The 23,519-nt window shown below is 47.8% G+C and overlaps 1 protein-coding gene across 6 annotated transcripts in view, besides 10 other annotated features; it reads right to left on the bottom strand.

Annotated features, from left to right (window-relative positions):
• TOX2 (TOX high mobility group box family member 2) overlaps nt 1–13,700 on the bottom strand; it is a 154,765-nt gene extending 141,065 nt beyond the window's left edge. For 4 of the 6 annotated variants that reach the window (XM_047440561.1, NM_001098797.2, XM_047440565.1 and 1 more), the window contains exon 1: nt 13,562–13,700. Coding sequence is in view for 3 of the 6 variants with exons in the window: in NM_001098797.2 (NP_001092267.1) it covers nt 13,562–13,660 (99 nt within the window). In the remaining 3 variants the exon portion in view is untranslated. Of the gene's footprint in view, nt 1–12,343; nt 12,423–13,561 lie in introns of those variants that run through there. The other 2 variants (NM_032883.3, NM_001098796.2) reach the window with 1 other exon arrangement.
• Nucleotides 11,090–11,149: an enhancer, noted in NCBI's record as "active region_17916". NCBI's record gives its function as "activates an Ori minimal core promoter by ATAC-STARR-seq in GM12878 lymphoblastoid cells {active_cell/tissue: GM12878}" and the evidence as "EXISTENCE:reporter gene assay evidence [ECO:0000049][PMID:35858748]".
• Nucleotides 12,220–12,269: a silencer, noted in NCBI's record as "silent region_12936". NCBI's record gives its function as "represses an Ori minimal core promoter by ATAC-STARR-seq in GM12878 lymphoblastoid cells {active_cell/tissue: GM12878}" and the evidence as "EXISTENCE:reporter gene assay evidence [ECO:0000049][PMID:35858748]".
• Nucleotides 12,330–12,389: a silencer, noted in NCBI's record as "silent region_12935". NCBI's record gives its function as "represses an Ori minimal core promoter by ATAC-STARR-seq in GM12878 lymphoblastoid cells {active_cell/tissue: GM12878}" and the evidence as "EXISTENCE:reporter gene assay evidence [ECO:0000049][PMID:35858748]".
• Nucleotides 12,528–13,245: an enhancer, noted in NCBI's record as "H3K27ac-H3K4me1 hESC enhancer chr20:42543947-42544664 (GRCh37/hg19 assembly coordinates)". NCBI's record gives its function as "activates a minimal SCP1, AML or CMV promoter by ChIP-STARR-seq in naive and primed H9 embryonic stem cells {active_cell/tissue: H9 hESC(naive and primed)}" and the evidence as "EXISTENCE:reporter gene assay evidence [ECO:0000049][PMID:30033119]".
• Nucleotides 13,246–13,963: an enhancer, noted in NCBI's record as "H3K27ac-H3K4me1 hESC enhancer chr20:42543229-42543946 (GRCh37/hg19 assembly coordinates)". NCBI's record gives its function as "activates a minimal SCP1, AML or CMV promoter by ChIP-STARR-seq in naive H9 embryonic stem cells {active_cell/tissue: H9 hESC(naive)}" and the evidence as "EXISTENCE:reporter gene assay evidence [ECO:0000049][PMID:30033119]".
• Nucleotides 13,246–14,049: a biological region, named in NCBI's record as "H3K27ac-H3K4me1 hESC enhancer GRCh37_chr20:42543229-42543946".
• Nucleotides 13,460–13,549: a silencer, noted in NCBI's record as "silent region_12934". NCBI's record gives its function as "represses an Ori minimal core promoter by ATAC-STARR-seq in GM12878 lymphoblastoid cells {active_cell/tissue: GM12878}" and the evidence as "EXISTENCE:reporter gene assay evidence [ECO:0000049][PMID:35858748]".
• Nucleotides 13,600–13,709: a silencer, noted in NCBI's record as "silent region_12933". NCBI's record gives its function as "represses an Ori minimal core promoter by ATAC-STARR-seq in GM12878 lymphoblastoid cells {active_cell/tissue: GM12878}" and the evidence as "EXISTENCE:reporter gene assay evidence [ECO:0000049][PMID:35858748]".
• Nucleotides 13,730–13,829: a silencer, noted in NCBI's record as "silent region_12932". NCBI's record gives its function as "represses an Ori minimal core promoter by ATAC-STARR-seq in GM12878 lymphoblastoid cells {active_cell/tissue: GM12878}" and the evidence as "EXISTENCE:reporter gene assay evidence [ECO:0000049][PMID:35858748]".
• Nucleotides 13,930–14,049: a silencer, noted in NCBI's record as "silent region_12931". NCBI's record gives its function as "represses an Ori minimal core promoter by ATAC-STARR-seq in GM12878 lymphoblastoid cells {active_cell/tissue: GM12878}" and the evidence as "EXISTENCE:reporter gene assay evidence [ECO:0000049][PMID:35858748]".

The raw sequence follows: 23,519 nt of genomic DNA, 5'->3' as shown, positions 1-23,519 counted from the left end.
AAGAAAACACAATGATGTGCTTCGCTGATCCTGAAGGACGTAATCCAGGTCGGCATGCAGACATTTAGTGCTCCGTCCAAAGCAGCAATAAAGCGACCAACACAAGAGCAGCTGCAGGAAACCTGCACTGTGCAAGTGGGCGGCCAGGCCCTTCAGTGCTTTTTATTCCTTCTCTCATTTAAAATCAAAGCCTGGCTCTTAGGCATCTGTAGACAGATTTGGAAAGGGAATTGAAGCTAACTACACCAGGTGCTTAAACATACATCATTACCTCATTTAATTTCATAAACAAGTAAGCATTGCTCATCACATTTTGTATACGAGAAAACTGAAGTCAGAGATAATAAACAGCTTTCCAAATGCCCCTGGCTCCCTTCTTCAGCCTCACATCTTGACACTCTCAGCACCTTCTATGCCTTTGCATATGTTGTTCCTTCTACCTGGAATGCTTTTCCCTACCTTCTTCACTTGGCCAAGTTCTACTCACCTTCAAGCACAGGCAAGTGTCCCTTCCTCTGAGAAGCCTTTTCTGACTGTCCCCAGCCTAGCCTGGTGGTCCCACACTCCCCTGTGCTACTTCAACATAATGCTTACCACACACATTTGAAATTGTTTATTTCTGTCTCTCTAATAAGATCATGCTTCTCAAGGAAAAGGACCATGTCTTAATTACCTGTTCCTGCCTGGCACCTACCACAAAGCCTTGCATACAGCAGGCAGTGCATGCTCCTTGGATGGCTGTATGAAGGAGGGATAGAGGGAGGGAGGGAGGGAAAGAGGGAGGGAGGGAGGGAAGGAAGGAGGGAAGGAAGGAAGGATGGAAGGAAAGAAGGAAGGAAGGAAGAAAGGAAGGAAGGGGAAGGGAAGGAAGGAAGAAAGGAAGGAAGGAAGGGGAAGGGAAGGGAAGGGGAGGAAGGAAGGAAGGAGGAAGGAAGGAAGGAAGGAAGGAAGGAAGGAAGGAAATTAACTCTTCATAGGTGGCAAAGCCAAGAGCCAAGATTTGATCCCAGGCCAGTATGACTCCAAAGCATATCTCATGATGTGTGTGTGTGTGTGTGTGTGTGTGTGTGTGTGTGTGTGTGTGTGTGTGTGTTATATAGATCATCAGAAAATGTACACAGTGTGGAATATATTTCTGAGGACTCCATTCGTCCTTCCAAAAGAGATGCCAAAAATACCAGCCCACAGGGGAAAAAAGTAGGATGATGAATATGGGGGAAAGGGTTAACCAAACCCTTTTCCTTGTTGCAAGAGAATTTCACCTTTGTTAATTGCGGAGCATAACTCCCCTGGAAACCTGAGGAAAGTGGGACGTTAACTATGTTACCAGGCAACTCTGCTTATGGTAAAAATGACCCCTGATTGGTAAGTTGCATTTGAACTGGGAGGAACTATAAATAAGTTATAAATATCTGAAAAAGAAGCCATAATTTGGGTTTTCCTAGATGCAGAGAAATTTGTACCTGACATGTCCCTGGGTCCTTGAAGCTAAGCCTACGGAATTGTTACAATGGATATGGCAGCTGGGACAATAAGGCTTCTAAGCCAGGGTGGCTTCCACAGCCACCCATTGTGTATCTCATTCCTTTGCACTTGAACTAGATCCTGGGAGGGAGGGGGCAGCAAAGAGAATAGCTCCTGGCCACCTTCGTGGACCACTGCGGAGACTGTTGCAAGAATTACTTGTGCAGAAGAGAACAGCTCACGTGCCTTGCTGGCAGGCTGTGTCAGGCTGTGTCCCAAATCTTTCGAGGAGACTGGTGCCAAGTGTCCCCTGTGTTCATCTTGTGAGTCTGAATGTTTCATTGGTCCTTAAAAACTCCCTGTGGGAATTGCAATGAGAAAGAAGGGAACTGATACAGGAGAGAAAAGAGACAGCCCCAATGGGAACAAGCGCTACACCGATCCTGAACTGAAAAGCTCCTTAGACTGTACAGTGTATAAAGGCACTAAAACCTAGTATAGGGTCTATGCTCGCTGTTCTACAGAGGGCTCGGTTCACCTAAACAGTGCCTGGAGGAAGAAATGAGGGAGGGGAAGACTTACTTGCTCTCCCACAGACCTAACCACCAACCTGAGATGCAATTGTGATTATGTGAGGAAACCACGACTCAGAGAGGCTAAGTGACAGGTCCAAAGTCATACAGCTTATAAGTGTCAGGATACGAACCCAGGCACTTCCATCAAACTCAAAGTCACATTTGGATCCAACATCTGGATTTGCATAAAAATGAACTTCCATCTCAGGTGGACATAGAGAACAGAGAAAGCATGGGAGTGGGGGTGGGAGACCTTCCTAAATAATGTAAACAGGAAATATTTGCAGAATAAATGAGACATAAAGGGCCCAGGGTCCATCTTCCACATCATAAAGTTCAGTTCAAGCCAAAACACAGCATGATGAAACAATAAAATATATGCGTGGCATTGACCCTGGGTTATACTACTACTGAGTCGATTCATTTCCGACAAGTTTCTAAATCATTCCTGCAAATCAGGCCCAGCTTCGAAATAAGCACATTTTAATTAGCTGTAATGTAAAAAGCACTCTAGGACAAGGAGCCAGTGATACACTCTTCCACCCCTGCAGCAGGAGGAAGTGAGCTCCCCCTGGCACCCTGACAGCTGCAGAGCAAGCTCGGGCCAAATTCCAGCTCTGCCTAACAGCCCCCTCTGCCACCCTTCTGTTACTTGATTCATCTGGACCTCAGTCTTCTCACCTAAAAAAATGGGGACAAATGTGCCCAGCATAGTTCTTAGGAAAACTTAAGGCACATAAGAAAATAGGAAAAGGCTGGGATCAGAAACGTTATGAGACTGCTAGAAACTAAGAAGTCAAAGAAACAGACTGACAGCGAAGCCTGTGAGCACTAAGGAACCGGCACCCAACACCTAACTGAACCCCAGAACATTCCCAGAGAGAGGAAGCCTGCGCTGGGACCCCTGTGCCCGTCCAAAGCCCTGGGAGAAGCTGTTTGTTGGTTTTGCCCCCAGGCTAATGCCAACCAGAAGAATTCTCTAATTGAAATGAGAAATCTGCCTGGGAGACTCCCTCCTGCGGGTGAGCACAAGGCTGGAAAAAGTGCACCAGCGCCCTGGGGGTAACTGCTGGCCTACCCGAGGGACAAAGAGGCCCCCAAGGACTTCGTAGGCTCATCCCACACCGCAATAGAGTCTGCACTCACACACCACACACAGAGCGTTTCTACTCAACATCCACCCTGCCCACCCACGCAGTCACGGCTTTCACCCATGTTGAGGAAACTCACAACCACAGAACAGATCTAGATGCCCCCCTCCCATTTACAAATTTAAATGTCAACCGAGAATCACCAGGCATTTGTAGAAAATATCAGCATAAAAGAGAGGCCTAAAAGTGAACAGAAGAATCACCAATAAAACAGAGTTAAATGCAGGAAACAAAAGACCACTTTTTTAAAAATCGAATTACCATCTTCAAAGAGATTCAAGATAGTCACATATCCATAAAAGAAGAATAGACCACGATGATATGAGATCAATCAAGAAACTCAGAATTCTGGGAAAATAAAAAAATGATTCCAGAAATAAAAACAACGAATGTATTAAAAGTAAGGAACTGAAGAAAGGGTTTGATGGGAAGTACACCCTCCACTCCCTTTTCAGTGGACACCCCGGGACACAGGGCTGTGTGTGGAGAAGGGAGAGGGACAGAGAGTGAGAGGGACTTCACTTGTGTCTTTCCTCTTCTAAAATACTTCTGTGTGTCTTACAAAGAGCAAAATCAATTTTTAAAAAATAAAACAGTGGCAGGACTCAAGATAAAGAGGAAAATGGTAGAAAAATGAGGTGCAGTTGGGAGTGAGTTAATGAACAGTAGCCACACCACAGCAGCCTATGTTATGGCTACAGGTGACCCCTCCTTTGCCTCTGAGCTTCCTGGGAGCTCAGTGATGGTGAAAGGCAAAGCCAGAAACACTGACCTGCATTGAGGCTGGGCAGGGCAGATGGCCTCTTGTTGAACTAGACAGGACTCCAGCCCAAAGAGAAAGCCCTGGCTCTTGCCCAGAGGTGACCTCCTTAAGCATGGCCCAGAAGCTCCTTGGAGACCCATCTGGAGTCCTCCCTAACACACAGGAAGATATGTGACAGCTCAGTGCAAGGACTCTGGAATCCCACCCTGGAGCATCTAAGAGCATCTTTGAGCCCCTAAAAACTCCATTAATTACCATTTGTCTTCCCTTGGACCCAAAAAGTAACTATCCTGCCTTTCCTACGCAGAGCAGATGACACATCTCTCTCACTTCATGAGACAAAGAAGAACCTTGAGCAAGTGAGTGACCATCACTAAAAGTCATCCACATGCTGGCCCTTGATTTCCTGGGAAATCTCCCTGAGATGGTCACAGTGGTACTCTCCAGCCCTCTTCCATATGCTCATCCCCCAACCTCAGGAATATCAGCGGCTGGGCTTGCAGCTCGCCCTTCAATGGGACTGCCCTCTACTGCAGTGAACTCCTTCACCCAAGGGAACTGCCTGCTGTTCATTTTTAGGCCTCTCACTTATGCTGAAATGACCAGATGATGCAGAAATCAAAGGCTTGGGCAGTCCCCTCACCTCCATCTGGGGCAACACTAAAGAGCCACCTTAGCGCCACAGCTCCCTGTGGGATGGCGTTCTTCAGAACCACAGGTCAGGCCAGGCCAGCTTCTCCCCGGCCCAAGCACGTTTCCTCCTGTGTCCCCTGCAGGTGCACCCCTTCCGCCCACCTCACCGCAGAGAACTTCCCCACATAAACCTTCCACGAGCAACTCTCCATCTCAGAGTCCTTTTCCAGGCAACCCAATGTGAGACTTTCCCCATGGTGAAGAAGACTCTCCCCACAACCCACCAAGGGGCTTGAGAAGGACACCTAACCATGTCCACACCGGGGCTCCATGCCCCAGGCCAGCAATACATCTCTACTGTCCTCAGTTAAGGCAGGACAATCCTGCCACGTTCTAGTCTAGACCAGAGGTTCTCTAAGTGTGGATCCCAGACTGGCACCATCAGCACCATCGACTTGCTAGTAGTGCTAACTTTCAGCTCCTCCCCAGGCCTGCTGAGTCAGAACTTCTGGGAGTGGAACACAGCAGTCTGTTTTAACTGTGCTCCAGGTGATTCTGGTGGGCTAAAGTTTGAGAAGCAGAGTATCTATCATGGGCTACTGGGGGAAATCAAATGCAAGTCATTAGACTTTCCCATCAGCAGAAGACCAAGAGACAGTCGTTGAGGATGGTCAGAATCCAGCAATGTGATGCATTCCATACTTGTGCACCGTACCCCTGGTTCCAGGCACAGTCCTCTACTTAAAGCCCCACAGGCTGGGGTGCAAGGCTCTTCATAACCATCTCTGCTGGTGTCCCAACTCCCACGCAGGCAGGTTTCCCCTCCTTAGGCTGACAGTATCCCCAAAGCACCCCTACAATGGCTGCTCCCTCTGCCTGGAACACCCCCCACCACTCTACATGCCCCCAGGCAGCCCACCTGGCATTCCTGTAAGACTGCCATTGTGAAACCTTCCCACACTCCCGGCATTGGCACTGCTCAGCCAATTTTATATTTAATTATTACTCTGCATTTTAAGCCAATTGATTACAAATCCACATAGCCATTCACCCAGTAAATAAAACTTTCCTCTGGAGTTACTGAGCCTCCAGGACAGGGCTGAATCCCCAGCACCCAGTAGGCACTCAATAAAAACCTGTTGAACATCTGAGAAACCCAGCAGTAAACAGGCCATTAAATATTGAAAAACCACAATCAGGTTGCTCATCCTGGCAGGCACCAGAATTAGCAACTGTACGGCAGCAAGTTTTAAATATCAGGGAAATTGATCAAAATGTATTATCCTGTGTCATACAACATCATTTCATTAAGATATAAAATTACAATTTACCACAACTCATTAGGTTAATAATCACTTACCATATGTTTTTACTGTTGCTCCCAAACCATGCTGAAAAATCATCCTGTAGGTTTGAATCCATGTAAATAAGATGACTGTCAACCCTGTGGATACAGGATTACTGAAGGGAGACAGTGGACTGAAGCCCTGGCCAGAAAGCACGGTGCCTGCTGTGGTGCTGCAATTCGCTTCACCACCATCTTCTAGTTTACCTGCGCTAAACTTTCTTCCCACATCACTGGTTCTCAACCAGGGGCAAAGTCTGGAGACATTTTTGTTGTCACGACTGGGGGCAGGGTGATGCTCTTGGCATCTACTAGGTAGGGGCCAGGGATAGGACTAAACATTCCGCAATGCATGCAGCAACTCCCACAACAATGTTATTAGGTCCAAAATGTCAATAGCGCCGAGGCTGGGAAACATCATTCTAGATTAGACAGAATTTCCATACCTATTACTTTAATCTGATCTTTGCAGCAACAATAGAAGGCAGGCATTTCTGTCCCCTTGTACAGATAAGAAAACTGAGACCTGAACATCTAAGTGATGTGCATGAGGTCACCTGCCCAAGCCAGTGGACTGGGCAGCTGTGATTTGAACCAATTTCTCTGCCTCCAAAACCCACTTTCTCTGCTGCACAGATTCAAGAAGGTAACAGAAGGTGGAGGAAATGAGCAACTCTCTCCCAATTCATAATCCTGGACACTCCAATAAGAGGCTCCTTCAACCCAGAGGCTCAGGAAAATCAGGTCTAGGGATCAAGACATGGAAGCATCCAGCGTTGGGACTGCCAGCAGCCCAGGGCCAGAAGTGGTGGCTCATGCCTGCAGTCCCAGCGCTTCGAGAGGCCAAAGCAGAAGGATCATTTGAGCCCAGGAGTTTGAGGCTACACTGAGCTATGATTGTACCACTGCACTCCATCCTGGGCAAGAGAGCAAGACTGTGTCTCTAGAAAAAAAAAAAGAAGAAGAAGAAGAACATGGCGGGGCAGCTGTGGAGCATCCTCCAGCAGCTGGTACAGAAAAGCAAGTTCCTCTCGCATTTTAACTTTCAGTTGGGCTGCTCTTTGTGGATGAAAATGAAAGCATTTCCTGCTGGGGCCAAGTGCTACACATACATGGTCTCCAACCCTCAAGCTCCAAAGGGGAGATGTCAATGTCCCCATTTTACAGATGAGGAGACTGAGTCCAGGGAGGTTAAATAACTTGCCTGCCCTGATGGTGGTGAAGGCAGTGTTCAAACCCAAGTCTGCCAGGTTCCAGAATCCATGATGCCTTCATATCCTGAGACCAACTCTAGGAAATCAGAGAAGCAAAATAGATTGCCCTACAGAATCACATGGGGCAAGGAGCCACACAGCAGGGGGACTGCTGGACCAAGGGGGAGGCACAGGACCTTGTCCTTCATGCAGGCTCAGCTCCTCTTCCCGCCTACAGGCTGCTCTGTGTGCCAGGCTCTGTCCTCCGAGCCCACTTGGGGAAGCTCCTCTAGGAATGGAAGGTCCGCCAAAGACTCTGTGCCTCTGCGGGGTCCTGCCCTGGCTCCTTGTGCCCCACAAAGTCTTCAGATGACAACAGCCAAACAGATGCTAAGTTCCTCAAGCCACAGGTTACAACTGCCAAGCCCTAGATTCATTCATTCATTCAGCAAATATTTGCTGAGCATCTATGTGTCAGGCTAGCGCTGGGAATACAAAAGTAAAGGCAGACACAGTGGTTCCTGTCCTCTGAAGGATAGCAGGCCCATCTCCTCAAAAAGCACCATTCCCACCAGCATTCCCTCCCAGTGCACCCTCCACAGTTAGAAATGACATTCCCAGCCTTTATTTCATTATATTTCCACCCCCACACCATCCCTCTAGGCTGATGGTCACCGGTTTGCCTTCCCTTTGCACACAGGGAAACAGAGGCCCAAAGAAGGGTGCTGACAGGCTCAAGGTCACCCAGCAGATCGGGGGCAGCAGTGCCAGGCTTGGGCTGCTGGTCCTGCCATGCAAACATCCTGGGGTCCTTCCTGGAGGAGCCTCCAGCACAGGTTGGGGGAGGAGCTATAGGGAGCATGTTTAGATGGAAAGTAAATGAGAGCTTCCTAGCAGAGATGCAGACATCCATCTAGCGTTCCCTGGGACCAGCCATCTCAGCTCTAAGCCCACCCATCCCAGGGTACCTTCCATGGGACCCATTAGCAGCCACCTGTGCCCCTGAAGAAAGGAGCTGTGGGAATCTCACCCACCAAGTATGCCGGGCAGGCCTCACATAGGTCAAGTCCAGATCAAGTCCATAGTTTAACCCCACTTCATGAATTTTTGTCAAAAAGAGTCCTCAATCATTCATTAACCAAGCTTGTCCAGATCTCATCCTTACAAGATGCTGTGCCCAGAGCTGTGTGGGTGGGAAGTTGAATCCTTCACCCACCAGCACATATTTACTGAGCAATTATGAGTCAGGCACGATGCCAGGTGCTGGGCAGAATTCCTGCCTGCCAGGAGCCCACAAAAGCCTGTACACAAACAACCAAACAACTGCTACACAAAGTGTGGTCCTTGGATCAGCAGTAACAACACCTGGGTAGCTCATTAGACATGCAAATTCCTAGGACCCCATGCCAGACCAACTGAATCCAATCTCTGGGGGTGGAGCCCAAGAATCTGTTTTTACAATCTCGCCAGACAAAAGACACGGAATCAACCCAAATGTCCATCAGTGTTAACCTGGATAAAGAGAATGTGGTACACATACACCATGGAATACTATGCAGCCATAAAAAGGAACAAGATCATGTCCTTTGCAGTGGCATGGATGGAGCTGGAAGCCATTATCCTCAGCAAATTAACATAGGAACAGAAAACCAAACACCGCATGTTCTCACTTATAAGTGGGAGCTGAACAATGAGAACACATGGACACAGGGAGGGGAACAACACACACCGGGGCCTGTCAAGTGCCGGGGGGAGGGAGGGAGTGAGAGCATCAGGATAAATAGCTAATGCATGCGGGGCTTAACTCCTAGGTGATGGGTTCATAGGTGTAGCAAACCACCATGGCAGACGTTTACCTATGTAACAAATATACACATCCTGCACATGTATCCTGGAACTTAAAATAAAATTTAAAAAAAATCTTGCCAGCTGATTCTTCATGTGTACATAGATTTGAGAAACACTATTCTAGACCACAAGGCCTTCCTCAACTTCCCTATTTAACAATCACAAACCAGCCCCAGGCCTTGGGACTCCCAACTCTCTTTCCTGTTCCATTTTTCTCCAAAAGTCATATTCCCATCAATCATGATACCATATATTTCACCCATATATTTATGACTTCCCACACTGATAAATAAGCTCCAGAGGGCAGTGATTTGAGTGACTTTTGTTCACTGCTGCAGCATCAGTTGCTGTGCACAGTGCCTAGCACCAAGAAGTGCTCAATAAATATTTTTGGTAGAATGATGGATGGCAGAACATGCCACATCCTATGCAGTATCAGTTCTTGGGGAAGCCTGGAAAGAAAGAGAAGTTTGCTGGCTGTGAAGCACCACATGGGGAAGGTGGTACCCAGGTTGGCCTTGATGAAGGCCTTCATCCCTTCAGTCCAGGGACGAAGGATGCTGGAACGGAGATGCTAAGCCTCTTCCTGGAATGGGCCCCAGATGGTTGATATTGTTGTTATCTAATTAGTAGCTGGTATGTGCCAATAACTGTCCTAACCTGTATCACCTCACTTAACCGTCCTGAAACTCAGAGGTAGGCAATGTTGTCTTTGAGAGAACACCAAGACTCAGAGATATTAAATGATTTTCCCCGCCCACAAAAAGACTTGTATAAGAATGTTCACAGTAGCTTTACTTATAATAGCTCCAACTTGGAAACAAACCCAAATGTCCACCTGCAGGTGAATGGATAAACCAATTGTATTATATTTATACAATATAATATTACTCAGCAATTAAATGGAACAAACTATGGATATATACAACATCGTGGATGAATGTTGAAGACATTACATTGAGCAAAAAGAAGACAGACACACAAATGTTTATGCTGCATATCAAGTTCTAGAACTTAAGCATGGTTAATATACCTAAATTGAACTTAAAGAAAGCATTGGTAACAGAAATCAGGTAAGTAGTTGCCTCTGGAGGTGGGGATAAGGCGTGCTGTCTATAAAGGGATGTGAGGGAACTTCCTGGGATGACGGAAATGTTCTCTATCTGGACTGGGATGCTGGTTACATGAGTGTTAATATTTATCAAAACTCATGGAACTGTACACTTAAAATCTTCATGTTATTGTATGTAAATCACATCTCAGTAAAAAATGAGCTAAAAATCATTTGCCCTAGGTCACTAAGCAACAAATGGACATTTGAACCCAGGCTTGCCCAGTTCTGATGGCTAGTTTACACTAGTCTGCCATAGTTGAGCAGGGATCCCCCAGCTGTCCCCCAGCCTGGTAAGATGCCTTGCCAAAATCTGAACCAGGAGTTCATAGTTACCCTAAGAAAGATGTTACAGGCTCTAAACCCCTGAACCATGACAGAGACTTGCAAAAAAGCCAAACAAGTGTCCTGCTGGGAGTCAAACCTGGGCTCAGGCCTCATCTTTGTTCCTTACTTGCTGTGTAATCTGTGAGTTACACTCCTCTGTGACTCAGTTTCCCCTTCTGTAATGCAAAGAAGGAGGAGACCAATGGTTCCCAGCATGGAGCCACAGATCCTGGGAGCCATGGGGCCACAAATCCCTATGCTCAAAAAGCACCTTTATTACATTAAATAGTAATGAGTCTTCTTCATACCTGTTAAGCTATTTTTCTAATGCATGCTAATATTGTGTTTAATAAAATACACATCTATTTCAAAGCAAAAATAAAACCATAACAGCTTTTCATTAGTGTGCATTTTCTCAAACAAAAGATACCAAAAGAACAACCAATGTTCGTGACTTTGGTTTAAAGAGGCTGGGAATCTCTGTGTAGAGGATCGCTAAGGGGACAGTCGCCAAGGGGATGGTCGCCAAGGGGACGGTCGCCAAGAGCCCTTCCAGGTCAACTGCCCCATAGGTGTCGGGCATCACTTGGGCAAATGCTTGCCCTTATGTATATAAAGCCTGGCTCCCTGTGCAACGAGCCTCTTGTCTGCGGACAGAGCCCCCCATGTGTGGGTGTGTCCACCCCACAATGTCTGGATTCAGCCAGGCCTACAGGCCCCAAGTGTGGTCACTACTGCACCCTGAGCCTGTTTCCCCTCCAGCTTTGATAGTGACTAGTGTAAAGGTGGAGCTTGGGCATTTCCCTCCCCAACCCCTCCCCATCCACTTCTTGAGCCAGAAAAGGGGAGTTCCTGATCACAGCCTGGCCCTACCCCCCAACCACCACCACTAAGGCCATGCCCACTTGGGAATCCCTTACCAAAAGACCTCTAGCCCCTAAATGAATACAGTGACCTCTCCCCTCCCGCCTCACCCTGCTCTAGCCTGAAGGACTGAGTAGCAGATTTCACATCCAAGTGCAAAGTCAGACCTTCCTTTCACCTATCAAGTGGCTCAGCTGCATCCCCACCCCCATCCCTGCCCCGCCCCACTCTGGACACATCCTCAGCTATGGGCCAGGGGTCCTACATCCCACACAGAAAGAAACCAGAATCGCCGGCTTCTCATTCCCTCCCTGACGGGCCCTTCCCGGCGAGATTCGCACAGGTTCTGGTGCTGAGTCAGAGGTTTACAGAGCATCAGAATAAAGCAGGGGCCTCGGCTGAGTCCTGCCTCCAAAGGCCCCTATTTGGGACAGCCCCACCCTGGCGAGATTTATAGAAACACCACCCTCAAACGGAGCGCTCCAGGCTAAACCCCCACCCACTCAGACTTTGAGGCACAAATGCCCAGCCCACCCACACCCGCAAACCAGAGGCTGGTACCTACCTCGCCAACTTCACATTTTGAAAAATAACAAAGCCAAGGGCAGAAGACAGACCAGCTGCCCCCACACCCAACCTTCTCCTCCCTGAAAACTCCACTTGCTACTTTTAATCTATTTTCCTCCATCAGACTGGAGGCAGCTCCCGGCCTTCTCCTGAGGCTACCATCCCCCCTCATCGGCTTCTAACTTTGCAGGTCACTGGACAAAAGAGAACCACCGCCACTCTTCGCGAGACCTCACTTGTCGCCCACCACCGCCCCACATCGCGCAGGCCCTAGTGGCCTGGATGCTTGCTGCCCCTGGCGAACTGCAGGGAGGCTTTGCCAGAAGCCGCTCCCCTGGGGCCTGAGGGCGCACTCAGGGAGGCCCAGCCCGGGAGGCCCCGGGATCCGCGCCGGGACGCCTCTCTCCTGCCTCATCCCCACTACCAGGGGCCTGACGAAAAGCCTGCGAGGTTGGGGAGAGACCCTGGGGGGCGCCGATCCAGCCACTGGACGCGCACTCACCCCGCATCGCCACGGAGCCCACGCGTCTGCGCCAGGGCTGCGGGAAACCCACGCGCGCTGTTCAATCCGGGCTCCGAGTGACGAAAACCCGCGCTTGGCTCCAGCCGGCCCGGGACCGACGCACCGACTGGCGGACGCGCGGACAGTCTGGCTTCCTAACTAAGTTTGAAAGTTCCCTCTCCGGCGACCGAAGGGGACGCGGACTGCTTAGAGGCACCCAACCCATCCAGGCTGGGCCAGACCCGGCAGTGGGACCTGACGCCTCGGGTTCGGGGTTCCAGGCACGCAAGCCTCCATCACTGGGAATGCGCCCGGCGCAGCGCAGCTGGGACCTGGCTGGGGTGGGGGGATAGATCCTGGAAACATGGAGGAGGGAGGGTGTCCGGCACTACAGCCCCAGCCTGGAGGGACGCCGGCTCACCGCTCCCGGGAGGACACAGGCCTCGATTGGCCGCAGCCTACTCGGAATCCGAGGCCCCGCCAGGCAGTGACGGCCAATTAGTAAACTGCCCAATTAGTGTGCTGCGGCGCTGAGAAGTTAAACCTCGACGCGCGAGTGTGGATGACCGAGGTGTGGCCGTCCCTGGGTGTGACCGCGTGTGACTGTGTGGCCGTCAGGACGATCTGTGTCTGAGGCTCACCGTCCAGGGGGGTGGCTGTGTGTGACAGCGTGCGCCTGGGTGAGGCGTTGTGGCTGCGAGAGTGTGACTGTCGGGCGACTTCTTTGTGTGACTGTCCCCCGTTGTGCCTGGGTGTGACAGCGGGTGGGGGCATGTCACGGTGTGTGGGGCATCGGAGCGTCTGTGGGTGACTCGTCTGTGGCGGTGAGGCTGTTTGCGGGTGAGTGGTTGCGTGTCGTTGTGTATAAGTGACTGTCAGGGTGACTTGCGTGGGACGGCGGGACCGTGTAAGCAGTGCCTGGCCGCCTGCGTGTGGCTGTGGGTCACTGTGACGGCTTGTGAATGACTGCGAGGCTGTCAGGGGGACGCGAGTGAGGGGCCACTGTGTCGTCGCACGGGTGGCTGTCGGGATGACTTCTGCCCGCGATCCCAACAACTCAGGGCGTGAGCGTGGCCGCGAGGGGATCGATGTGAGCCGCCCGTGCCCGTCGGCGGGGCTGATGTGCGCGGCCCCGTGTGACCCCGGGAGCGCCTGAGTCCCGAGCTGCCAGGTGACTCCGGCCCCGCCCGCCGGGGACCCCCGCCCGCCCCCGCCTACCTTGCCGCCGTGGTAATAGTCCAGGTGCGCCAGGCCGGCCGGCTCGGCCCCGGGCCGCGCGCCCACCGCGGGCGCCGAGGGGTACAGGCGGACGTCCATGGCGGGCGCGGCGGCGGCGGCGGCGGCTCCCGCGGGCAGTGCCTGGGCGGGCGGCGGGTGGGAGCCAGTGTGCGAGCGGGACTGCGAGCGCGGGGGGCGGGCCGGGGGCGGTGCCCAGAGGAGCGCCCCGCCCCCGCCCCCGCCCCGCCCGCGCGCGCTATTGTTCCGGCCTCGGGCGCTGCCTAGGGCCGGGGGCCCGGGGGCCCGGGCCGGGGCGTGGAGGTCCTTCCTCCGGGCTGGGCCGCCGCCGGGTCCCCCGCCCGGCCCTGCATCCCTGAGGGGGGCGCGCCTGTCCAGACGGCGCTTTTCCGTCCCGCCTTTCGCCACCCACGGTGAGGAGAGAAGCCCGAACGGCACCCCTCCCCAGAAGTGGGACACTCCCTTGCCCTAAATATTTGAGGCGGCGCTAGTCCCCGCCCCGCGGCGTGGGTGCGGGGGGAAGAGGAAGGTGGTGACAGGACCACTTTGGAGATGGGTGCTGCCTTACCTGGGGGGACGCAGGCCAGCGCCGGAGGATGCTCTTAGCATGCCCGCCCCCTCCTCGTCTCACTGATCTGAGTCAGCTTGACAGCCCCCCCTGGAGATTGCCGCGCTTAAACTCTCACTCACATATGGGGAAACTGAGTCAAAAACTTGCAGCATCAGTAATGGAGCTCCAGGCGGGTGGGCTCCGTTGCCCCCAAAGGATCCAGAGCTGAAACCACTTGGAGAAGGCAGCAGGACCCCACCCCTTTTAATGATAGGGAGGGGAGGGCCGCAGGAATGCCTAGAGCCCGAAGCTCTGAAGAGGGGTCTAGGATCTGCCCACAGTCACGGTCTCTTGGAGTGAGGAAAGGAAGAAAATGAGATTGGAATGGGATGGCTCTGATGGTGGGTCAGAAAGGTGACTGTGAAATGGGGTTCCTCCCCAACCAAAAAAAAAAAAAAAACCCTCTAGTTCTTGATATCACTTGCTGGTTGCTAGACTGTTGCACCCCCATCCCCCTTTTCATGCAAGAATTGTCTACACTAGCAATCTCCCCTAGCAATCTCACTGCTCACTGACTGCTCCAGGTATGTCTGACTGGGAGAGGCCAGGAGGCGAAGTCAGCCAGAATGGCATTCTTGTGTGGCACCAGGATATAGGATGCCATTGGGAGAAAAGGACTTGAGCTTCCTGCCCACTCAGGAGCTAGCTTAGAACTTAGTTCTCAACTGCTGCTTGGGCTTTGCTGGTCCTGGCCTAGAACTAGGACCATAAGAAAGATGCATTAACAAAAGATAGGTGTGGGAAACAGGCATTCACTGAAGGCTTGGGAACAACAGAGGGAAATTATAGCTCAGAAAGGAAAGAACTTCCAAATAAATTTCAGCAGTCATTGTTTCTAGAAATACAATGCCACACCTCATCAGAAAAAAATTTCCATTGTCCTGTGTCCATTTTTTTCATCTGGATATCCAACTGACCAGCACTCTTTATTGAAAAGATCACCACCACCACCACCACCCCCCTACACACACACACATACTCTTCTGCAATGCTAACATTGTCGTAAATCAAGTAGTCGATATGTGCATAAGACTGTTCCTGAATTCTCTATTCTGTTCTGTTAGCCTATTTTTCTCTCCCTGTGCCATTATCACAATGTCTGGATTACTGTGGGCTTATAAGTCTAAATGTCCCATGAAATAAGCCTACCCATTTTGTTCTTTTAAGACTGCATTGGCTATTCTTGATGTTTACACTTTCACAGAAATTTTGGAATCAGCATACCTATTTATATATATACACACAAACACACTAACACAATCTTGCTGGGATTTCAATTGGTATCACTTTGAACCTTTAGATCAATTGGAATAAAATTAACATTTTCAATAGTAAAACTTCTTATCCATGAACATGGTATGTCCCTTCATTTATTTTGGGTTTTTAAAAAAGTTATCTCAGCAATGTTTTGTAGTTTTCTACGTGGAGACCTTGCACATCTTTTATTAAATTTAGCCCCGGGTGTTTTTTGTTGCTATTATGAATGGCTTCTTTATTTTATTTTCTGTTTGTTGTCAGTACAGGGTTGTTGTTTTACAACATGTCCACAAATTCTTTGACACCTTTCCCAAGAAGTAGAGTCTAACACTCTTCCCCTCGGGAAGGGATTAGTCTTAGCGAATGGGTTTTAACAAAAAGAATGTGACAGAAGTGAATCTATGTGACTTCTGAGGCTAGCTAGATCATAAAATTAATAGGGCTTCTACCTGGCTCCCTCTCTCAGGACTTTTGTCTTTGGAACACTAAGCCATCATATGAGAACTCTCTCTTAGGCTGCCATGCATTGAAGAAGCCCAAACTAACCCACACAGAAAAATCATATGCAGAGACCCTGATACTAAGTAAAGAGGGATTCCTAGCCAGTCCCCAGCTCTGCCAGCTCCTGCTGTTCCTGTTCCATCTGCTATCTGACTGTACCCACATGAAAAAGGCTGAACTGTGCAGATGAGCCCTTCTTGAATCCAAAATGCACAGAAACCATGAGAGATAATAAATGATTATTGTTATTTTAAGCCACAAAGTTTTGGAGTGATTTGTTACTTAGCAATATAGGTCTGAAACATAGTATAAATAGATTTTTAAATAATGCCCTTGTATCCAGCAACATTGCCAAACTCATTTATTAATTCTAGTAATTCATCTGTAGATTCTTTGGCTTTAAAAAAAAATTTCTATCTCATCTGTAAAAATGAGAGTTTTAGTTTTTTCTTTTCAATTCTTATAAGTTTTGTTTCTTTTTCTTGCCTTGTTGCACTGGCTAATATCACCAGTATAATTTTGGAAAGAAGTAATAGTAGCAGACACTCTTGCCCCATTCCTGATTTCCTGATCTCAGAAGGAAAGATATCAATAGTTCACCATTAGTTATAATGCTTGCTGTAGTTTTATTTTTGTTTCATTTTGCTTTGGTGTTTTTGTTTGTTTGTTTGTTTTTTGAGACAGAGTCTCACTCTGTCACCAGGCTGGAGTGCAGTGGTGTGATCTTGGCTCACTGCAAACTCCGACTCCCTGGTTCAAGCGATTCTCCTGCCTCAGCCTCCTGAGTAGCTGGGATTACGGGTGTGTGCCACCATGCCCAGCTAATTTTTGTATTTTTAGTAGAGACAGGGTTTTACCATGTTGGCCAGGATGGTCTTGATCTCCTGACCTTGTGATCCAGTTTTTTTTTGCAGACACCTCTGTTGCAGGTTGAAGAAATCAGTCTTCACAGAAATACTCTGGGTCAGGAAATAAGACTGCTGTGGCCATTTTACAGATGAGAAGAGTGAGACCCAGTGAGGAATGCACATCCTGACAGTTAATAGTAGAGCCAGGACTACACCTAAGTCTGGAAATTCCACCTGGAGCACTTCCTACTGCCCATATTTCCACAGTGTTGGTCCCACTAACTCTGGCCAGAGGTGTAGAACAATGACCACCAGAGTTTGAAGATGCATGTGCAATGGGTCAGCTACAGGCAGCTATTTGACTTCTCTGGAGCCTGCCAGCAGCAGCAACAATCAACCCTGCCAATCACGTATATCCACTTTCTTCCCTGAGGAGGGAGCCAGCACCACGGAGGTATCTGAGAAGTCCAGCAGCAAAGTCCAACAAGGCCCCAAAGCTTGATCTTGCCACTTCATGTTGGCAGTTGATCAGACAGGAAGCTGATGACTCAGTTCCCCCAAAGAAACACCAGAGCCTCATCTGTTGTCTTGAAGATGGTAGTGGGGCTTCAGTTCTCCTCTCTTCCCTTTGATTGCAAGGAAAAATCTGTGAGAGAGGAAGCTCAGATCTCAGCCAGTAGCCCAGCTGGTCCAGTCTGGAGACCCAGAGTATCTGTTTGTTCATCTTCCACCTCTCAGTTTCTGACATCATAAATAGCTGAGATATCAGAATATAGATGGGTTTTAATATGTTTTATTAACCTTGAGGTATGGTAAGGACAACACACCAGGAGATGATTGCCATGGAAAAGACAGTTTGGTACTCCCAGGTGTCAGGAGGAGGGGACATACCATGCCATTGGGGGCCAGTGGGGAAGCACCAGGTCAGTCAGGAGGCAGAGGGAGAGGGGAGAACTGTGGGCAAGAGCCTTTACTGTGGCTTCCGCAGGAAGGAGCAGACAAGGCCGGGTCAGCAGGTTTAGGATTGGCTTGTTCGAATAATTTCAGCAGCTCTGGGGCATAGGGGCTGTCCCTAGTTGTCTGGTACTGGCTCTGGAGTAATTAGAGCAGGTAGATAGTGAGTTGGAGTGTGAGAGCCCAATAATACAGGTGGTTGGAGGCGTAGGCTCTGTATTGGTTTGCATTAGAAAATTATGCTAACAGGCTCACAGGTGAGTTGTTGACTATTTCTAGGTATTGGCTAACTCTAGAAGGGGCAGTCCCTCCAGGGTCTGCAAGACCCCAGATGTCAAAGTATCAGAATACAGAAAATAAGACATGGTTAGGCCGGGCGCGGTGGCTCACGCCTGTAATCCCAGCACTTTGGGAGGCCGAGGCGGGCGGATCACGAGGTCAGGAGATCGAGACCATCCTGGCTAACACGGTGAAACCCCGTCTCTACTAAAAATACAAAAAATTAGCCGGGCGTGGTGGTGGGCGCCTGTAGTCCCAGCTACTCGGGAGGCTGAGGCAGGAGAATGGCGTGAACCCAAGAGGCGGAGCTTGCAGTGAGCCGGGATAGCGCCACTGCAGTCCAGCTTGGGCGAAAGAGTGAGACTCCGTCTCAAAAAAAAAAAAAAAAAAAAAAAAAAAGACATGGTTAATACAAGATGTGTCCACTTACCCATGGGATCCAAGAGGGAAATGAGTCCTACTCCATCTATTGCTCCTTTACCTAGGAAATGTCTTGGCTTTAAATCAAAAGGACTAATCCCTAAAAAACAACTATGGCAGAGGAACTAAATACCCAACTGTGGGAGCACTTAGATCTAGTAATGAATCTTCTTCCTCTTTCTCCTTATAGGCACGTGGTAGACTTGTACTCCCCCACCCACTTGAATTTCGGTGTGACCATGTGACACTTTAGCTAATGGAACATGAACAGAATCGGTGTGTGTCACTTCCAGGTGGAAGTTTTAAGGGCCTGAGAAAATATTTAATCCTATTCTCCGAGCCATAAAAATCCTAACAAATGTCGACTCATTTTTTAAGACCTAATTCAAGTAACATTTATTTGGTTAAGACTTCTCCAAGACTCCAACTTAGTGCTCCAATTTGCTGCTCCAATAACCATCTGCACACAGGACTACTAGTGTGAATCTCAAAGAACTGCAACATCACATTTGCCCAGTGAGTTTCTCCAAGGCGAGGACAATAGCTCGCTCATCTCAGTGCCACCAGTGACTAGCACAGGGGCTAACAAAGCCTGGATGCTTCCTGCCCACCTCTGGGGAGAAGACCTTCCTACATACATACACACACACACACACACACACACCTTCCTACACACACACACACACACACACACACACGTGAAGAATTTAATTGTTCAGATTCCAGCTCACAGATGGGCCATGTTTGCCAGTGAGGGAAGTCACAATTCAGCCCTCCAGTGAGGCCCTGTCTACCATCTATCTCTGTCCCCTCCTTCCCAGTAGCCAGCATGCCTGTGGTGGGATATGTTAAGCTGGATTGAGGTGCAGAAAATGGAAGTCCACAGGGAAAACCTCACTTCAAAAGCTCAACTTATCTTAGTTGAGGTCAAAAGCAGATCCTGAGACACAGATTCTGGTGCAAGTAGTTTACGGGAGCGCAGTTCCGGGACACACAGATAGTGGTGTGGGAAAGTGAGACAAGAAAGGAAGACAGTCAAGAAAGGGCATATTATCTAACAAATTCCTACTGTGGGCAACTGGAGCCTAACTCCACTGGGGAATTCTGGAAACAGCGTAGAGCGCATACTTGGAGTTATCCCCTTAAAGAACAAGGAATTGGGGTTTTACCCACCCACTCTCTTAACACTCTTGGTTAAAGCCTCCTGTCTGGGGCATTCATTCCTGGCAGTTCAGCCTGAGAGGCACCACAGGGCTGTGGCAACCAGAGAAAGCCCATAAGCAAAGAGAGGCAGGCAGGTACAAGCTATACACATCTCCTCCAGGAACTTTGTTGGTGGGTAGCTGTTGTCTGAGGCAGCAGTGGGCATTCCTAGAGCCCTTGCCATGGTGCCCTCTGGCCAACAGCATGCCAACCTGTCCATTATTTCTGACAATGAGCCAAAGAAGCCCACAATTTGTACTCAAAGTGTCTGCTGGACAAAAGATCTAATGGACCAACACGTGTGTGACAGACTTTGGCACAAAGTGACTTACTCTGGCCCTTGCATATAAGAATACCAGATGAGAGGTCAAAGACTCTGAATGCAAGTCCTGGACTCTGCTCAACTCCCTTAGCCAACAATCCCATGAGGTAGGTAGTCCCTATCTTATACTTGAGGAAACTGAGGCACAGAGAGGCCAAGTAACTTACCTGCCATTAGAACAAGCTGTAGCCAGGATGTGCAACTAGCCAGTTTGGCTTCCAAATTCACACTCATAACTACTACACCTCACTGCATCTTTCTGATCTGTCATACAAATTTCAGGTTAAGGTAAAAAGAAAACCCTATTAGTATTTTACTTGAAATTACATTTAATTGTTCAATTAACTTGGGGAGAATTAAATTTTTTATTAAAAGTTGTTTTAATTCAGATAGATAGGAAACTATTAAAGTTTTCAAAGTTGATATTGTATTCAAGAAAAATTTTTAAACTCTCTTATTTGCTCTGTTTTTCTATAGATTCCCTTTGACTTTCTGTGTAGATGGTCATGTTGTCTGGAAGGGGGATTGATTCTGTTCTTCCTTTTCAATCTTCTTACCACTTCTTTCTTTGTCTTTTCTTATTGCATTGTCCAGCACCTCTAGAATCAATGTTAAATAGAAGTGGTGATACCAGGCATTCTTGTCATGTTCCTTACTTCAGTGAACCTACTTCTTATATTTCACCATTAAGCCATTAAGTAAGATACTTACTGTAGCTTTTGGTAATACATTTTATCAATTAATAAAGTTTCTTTTTATTCCTAGTCTGCTAAGATATTTTTTTCTGGCATGAATTAATTGTAGTTTACAATGTGGTTTTTTTTTGGCATCTATTGAAATAACCATCTGGGTTTTATCATCTAACCTATTAATTATATGTATTATATATAGAGATATTATTTATATTGAACCATCCTTGAATACCTTGGGTAATTGTTGGGACTTCTATTTGCTTCTAATTTTATTATTATTATTACAAACAGGGTCTCACTCTGTCACCCAGGCTGGAGTCCAGTGGTGTGATCATAGCTCACTGCAGCCTCGAACTCCTGGGCTCAAGTGATCCTTCTGCCTCAGCCTCCCATGTGACTGGTATTACAGCCATGAGCCACTACCTCCAGCCATATTTTATTTTCTAATACACTGCTAAACTCCATTTGAAGTTATTTCACTTAGGGTTTTTTTTTGCATCTATGTTAATAACCAAAATTGGTCTAAAATTCTGTGCTATTGTTGCCAAGCTTTATGTGTCAAGGTTATACTGGTTTAGCCTAATGAATGGGAAAGAAGAATTTTAATAACCGATTCAACTTCTTAAATTATAATTGGATGATCATATCATTTTTTCTTAGTAAATGTTGGTATGCTTTTCTACAACATTGTTCATTTCACTTAGCTTTTCAAATGTATTGGGTTAAACGTGTCTTTAGTATTATGATTTTTGAAATGCTCTTGTATCTGTTACATATGCTCTTTCTCTTATTTTCTTAATCAATCATACTTAAAGTTTGTCTGTCATTAAACTACATTTTTATTCTATATTTCTATTTTCTATATTCTCCAAATTTTTTATAGTAACTGGGAAGAAAAATTAACATTTTTGCAAACAAACAAAGATAATACACATAAAGCACCTAGTACTTAGAAAACATTTGGCAATATTGGTTAAATTAATATAAGAAAAATATTTTTTAGCACATGCCAGGGACTAGAGACTCAAACTATGATTGCGACATGATTTGTGCTCATAGCTGAATTGGGGAGACAGACAGGTAAGTGGTCAATGAAGTATAGTATGATAAACATAATAGAGTTAAGTACAAAGTGGATTGGGAACACAGAGGAGTACTTCCTGAGGGGGGTGATGCTGAGCTGGGCACTGTAGGATGGCTAAGAGTTAGGCAAGTGAAACAGATGGCTGTTTCTTATCCTTGCTTTTGGACTCATCTTCAAGTGGCTCAGCTCTGAGCAAGGGTGACCTGCCCGGACCCTGGCTCCTTCATTTTCACAAGAGAATGTCTACTAATGTTTCCCCCTTCTAAGGATGACAATACTCCACTTTGGTCCTACATGCCCCTCTGCTGCTGTATTTTCTATCATCTGCTATAGCACAGGGGTGGACGAAGGAGAATAAAGATAGAGTCAGCTGCTACTTCTCACCTTGAAGAAGACCTTTGGCAATGCCCCTTATGGTAACGACCATTCCCCAACCGCTGGTGGCTTCATAAGCAAGCCCACTTTAAGGGGCGCATGAAGACAAGAACATAAAAATAAAAGATGTACTACTCTCTGGTCACTCCCTTCCAAGTCTCTACTGGGCTTTGGACGATCGTTCTGTAGAAGCCTAAATATCCTTGCCCAAAAACGTTCAGAGAAGCAGGGCTTTTAATAGCCAAAATTAGACAGAGACAGTAGTCGAGTTAATGGCCATGAGAAAAATAAAGGCTTTTAAAGTCCTGGAGGGCTGACAACAACCATTCAGCTGTGGCCTCCCTCAAGACAATATGTTTACTGAGCACTTACTATGTACTAAGTGGTTGGCATGTATCATCTCACATAATCTACCCACTGTGAGGTTGTTGCTAATGTTACCATCCCCAGTTTACAGGTCAGGAAAGTGGAGCTCAAAGAGGTTAGATGGCTTGCCCTACAAAACACTAGGCCTGAGATTCAAACCCAGAGCATTTACATTTACACACCATCTCCTATCGGGACATGTGTCCAGTGCCTGAGACACATGAGACACAGGCCCTGGGTGACTAAAGAATGAATTGATTAAGTAAACAGAAGAATGAATGGCCATGAAGACTAGAAAGCAACACAAGAACGTTATTTTTGCTCTAATGGTTGGTAAGTGGGGGAATTGACCGGCAGGAACATGAGGAAACTTTCTGAAGTAACCCTAATATCCTATATCTCGATGAAGGCTTAGGTTACACAGGCAGTCACATTCCTCAAAACTCAGAAAATGTACATTTAAGGTTTGTACATTGCATTGTATGTAAATTTCACATTTTAAAAATTGTAAACAAGTATTAGACTCTAATTGATGGTACACATGCTGATGTAGTTTAGGGGAAGTGAAAGGATGTCTGCAACTGGAAATGCACTTCCAAAAGAAGGCAGCTTGATGAATGGATAGAGAAACAGATAGATGGATAGTAAGTATGTGATAAAAGCAGGAGAGGAAAGTAATGGTGGAATCCAGGTGGTGGATACACAGGTGTTTGCTGTCATAGCCTTTCCACATTGTTTATTAAACTGTCATCATAAAATGTGGAGGGAAAATACCTCGTGTGTTATGGTGGCAGTTGGGTAAACATTTGTGTCTGCGTCATGCTATTTACCATGATTTCCACTATAGAAGAATGTAGAGGTAGCCCTTCCTCCTTGTCTTCCTTCCTTCCCTCAGGGTCTCCCTCATCCCATCCAGCGAATAGCAACAAAGGGTCAACACTGGGTTGGCAGCAAATCCAAGTTCCACTATTCCCTGCTCACCTCTGCTCATGCCACATCGATTTCTTCCTCTGAGGGGCGACTCCCTTG

This window comes from Homo sapiens, chromosome 20, assembly GCF_000001405.40.
Source record: "Homo sapiens chromosome 20, GRCh38.p14 Primary Assembly".
Classification (NCBI taxonomy): Eukaryota; Metazoa; Chordata; class Mammalia; order Primates; family Hominidae; genus Homo; species Homo sapiens.
The sequence above is the reverse complement of the archived record's forward strand: the minus strand, read 5'-3'. Positions and strand labels throughout refer to the sequence as shown.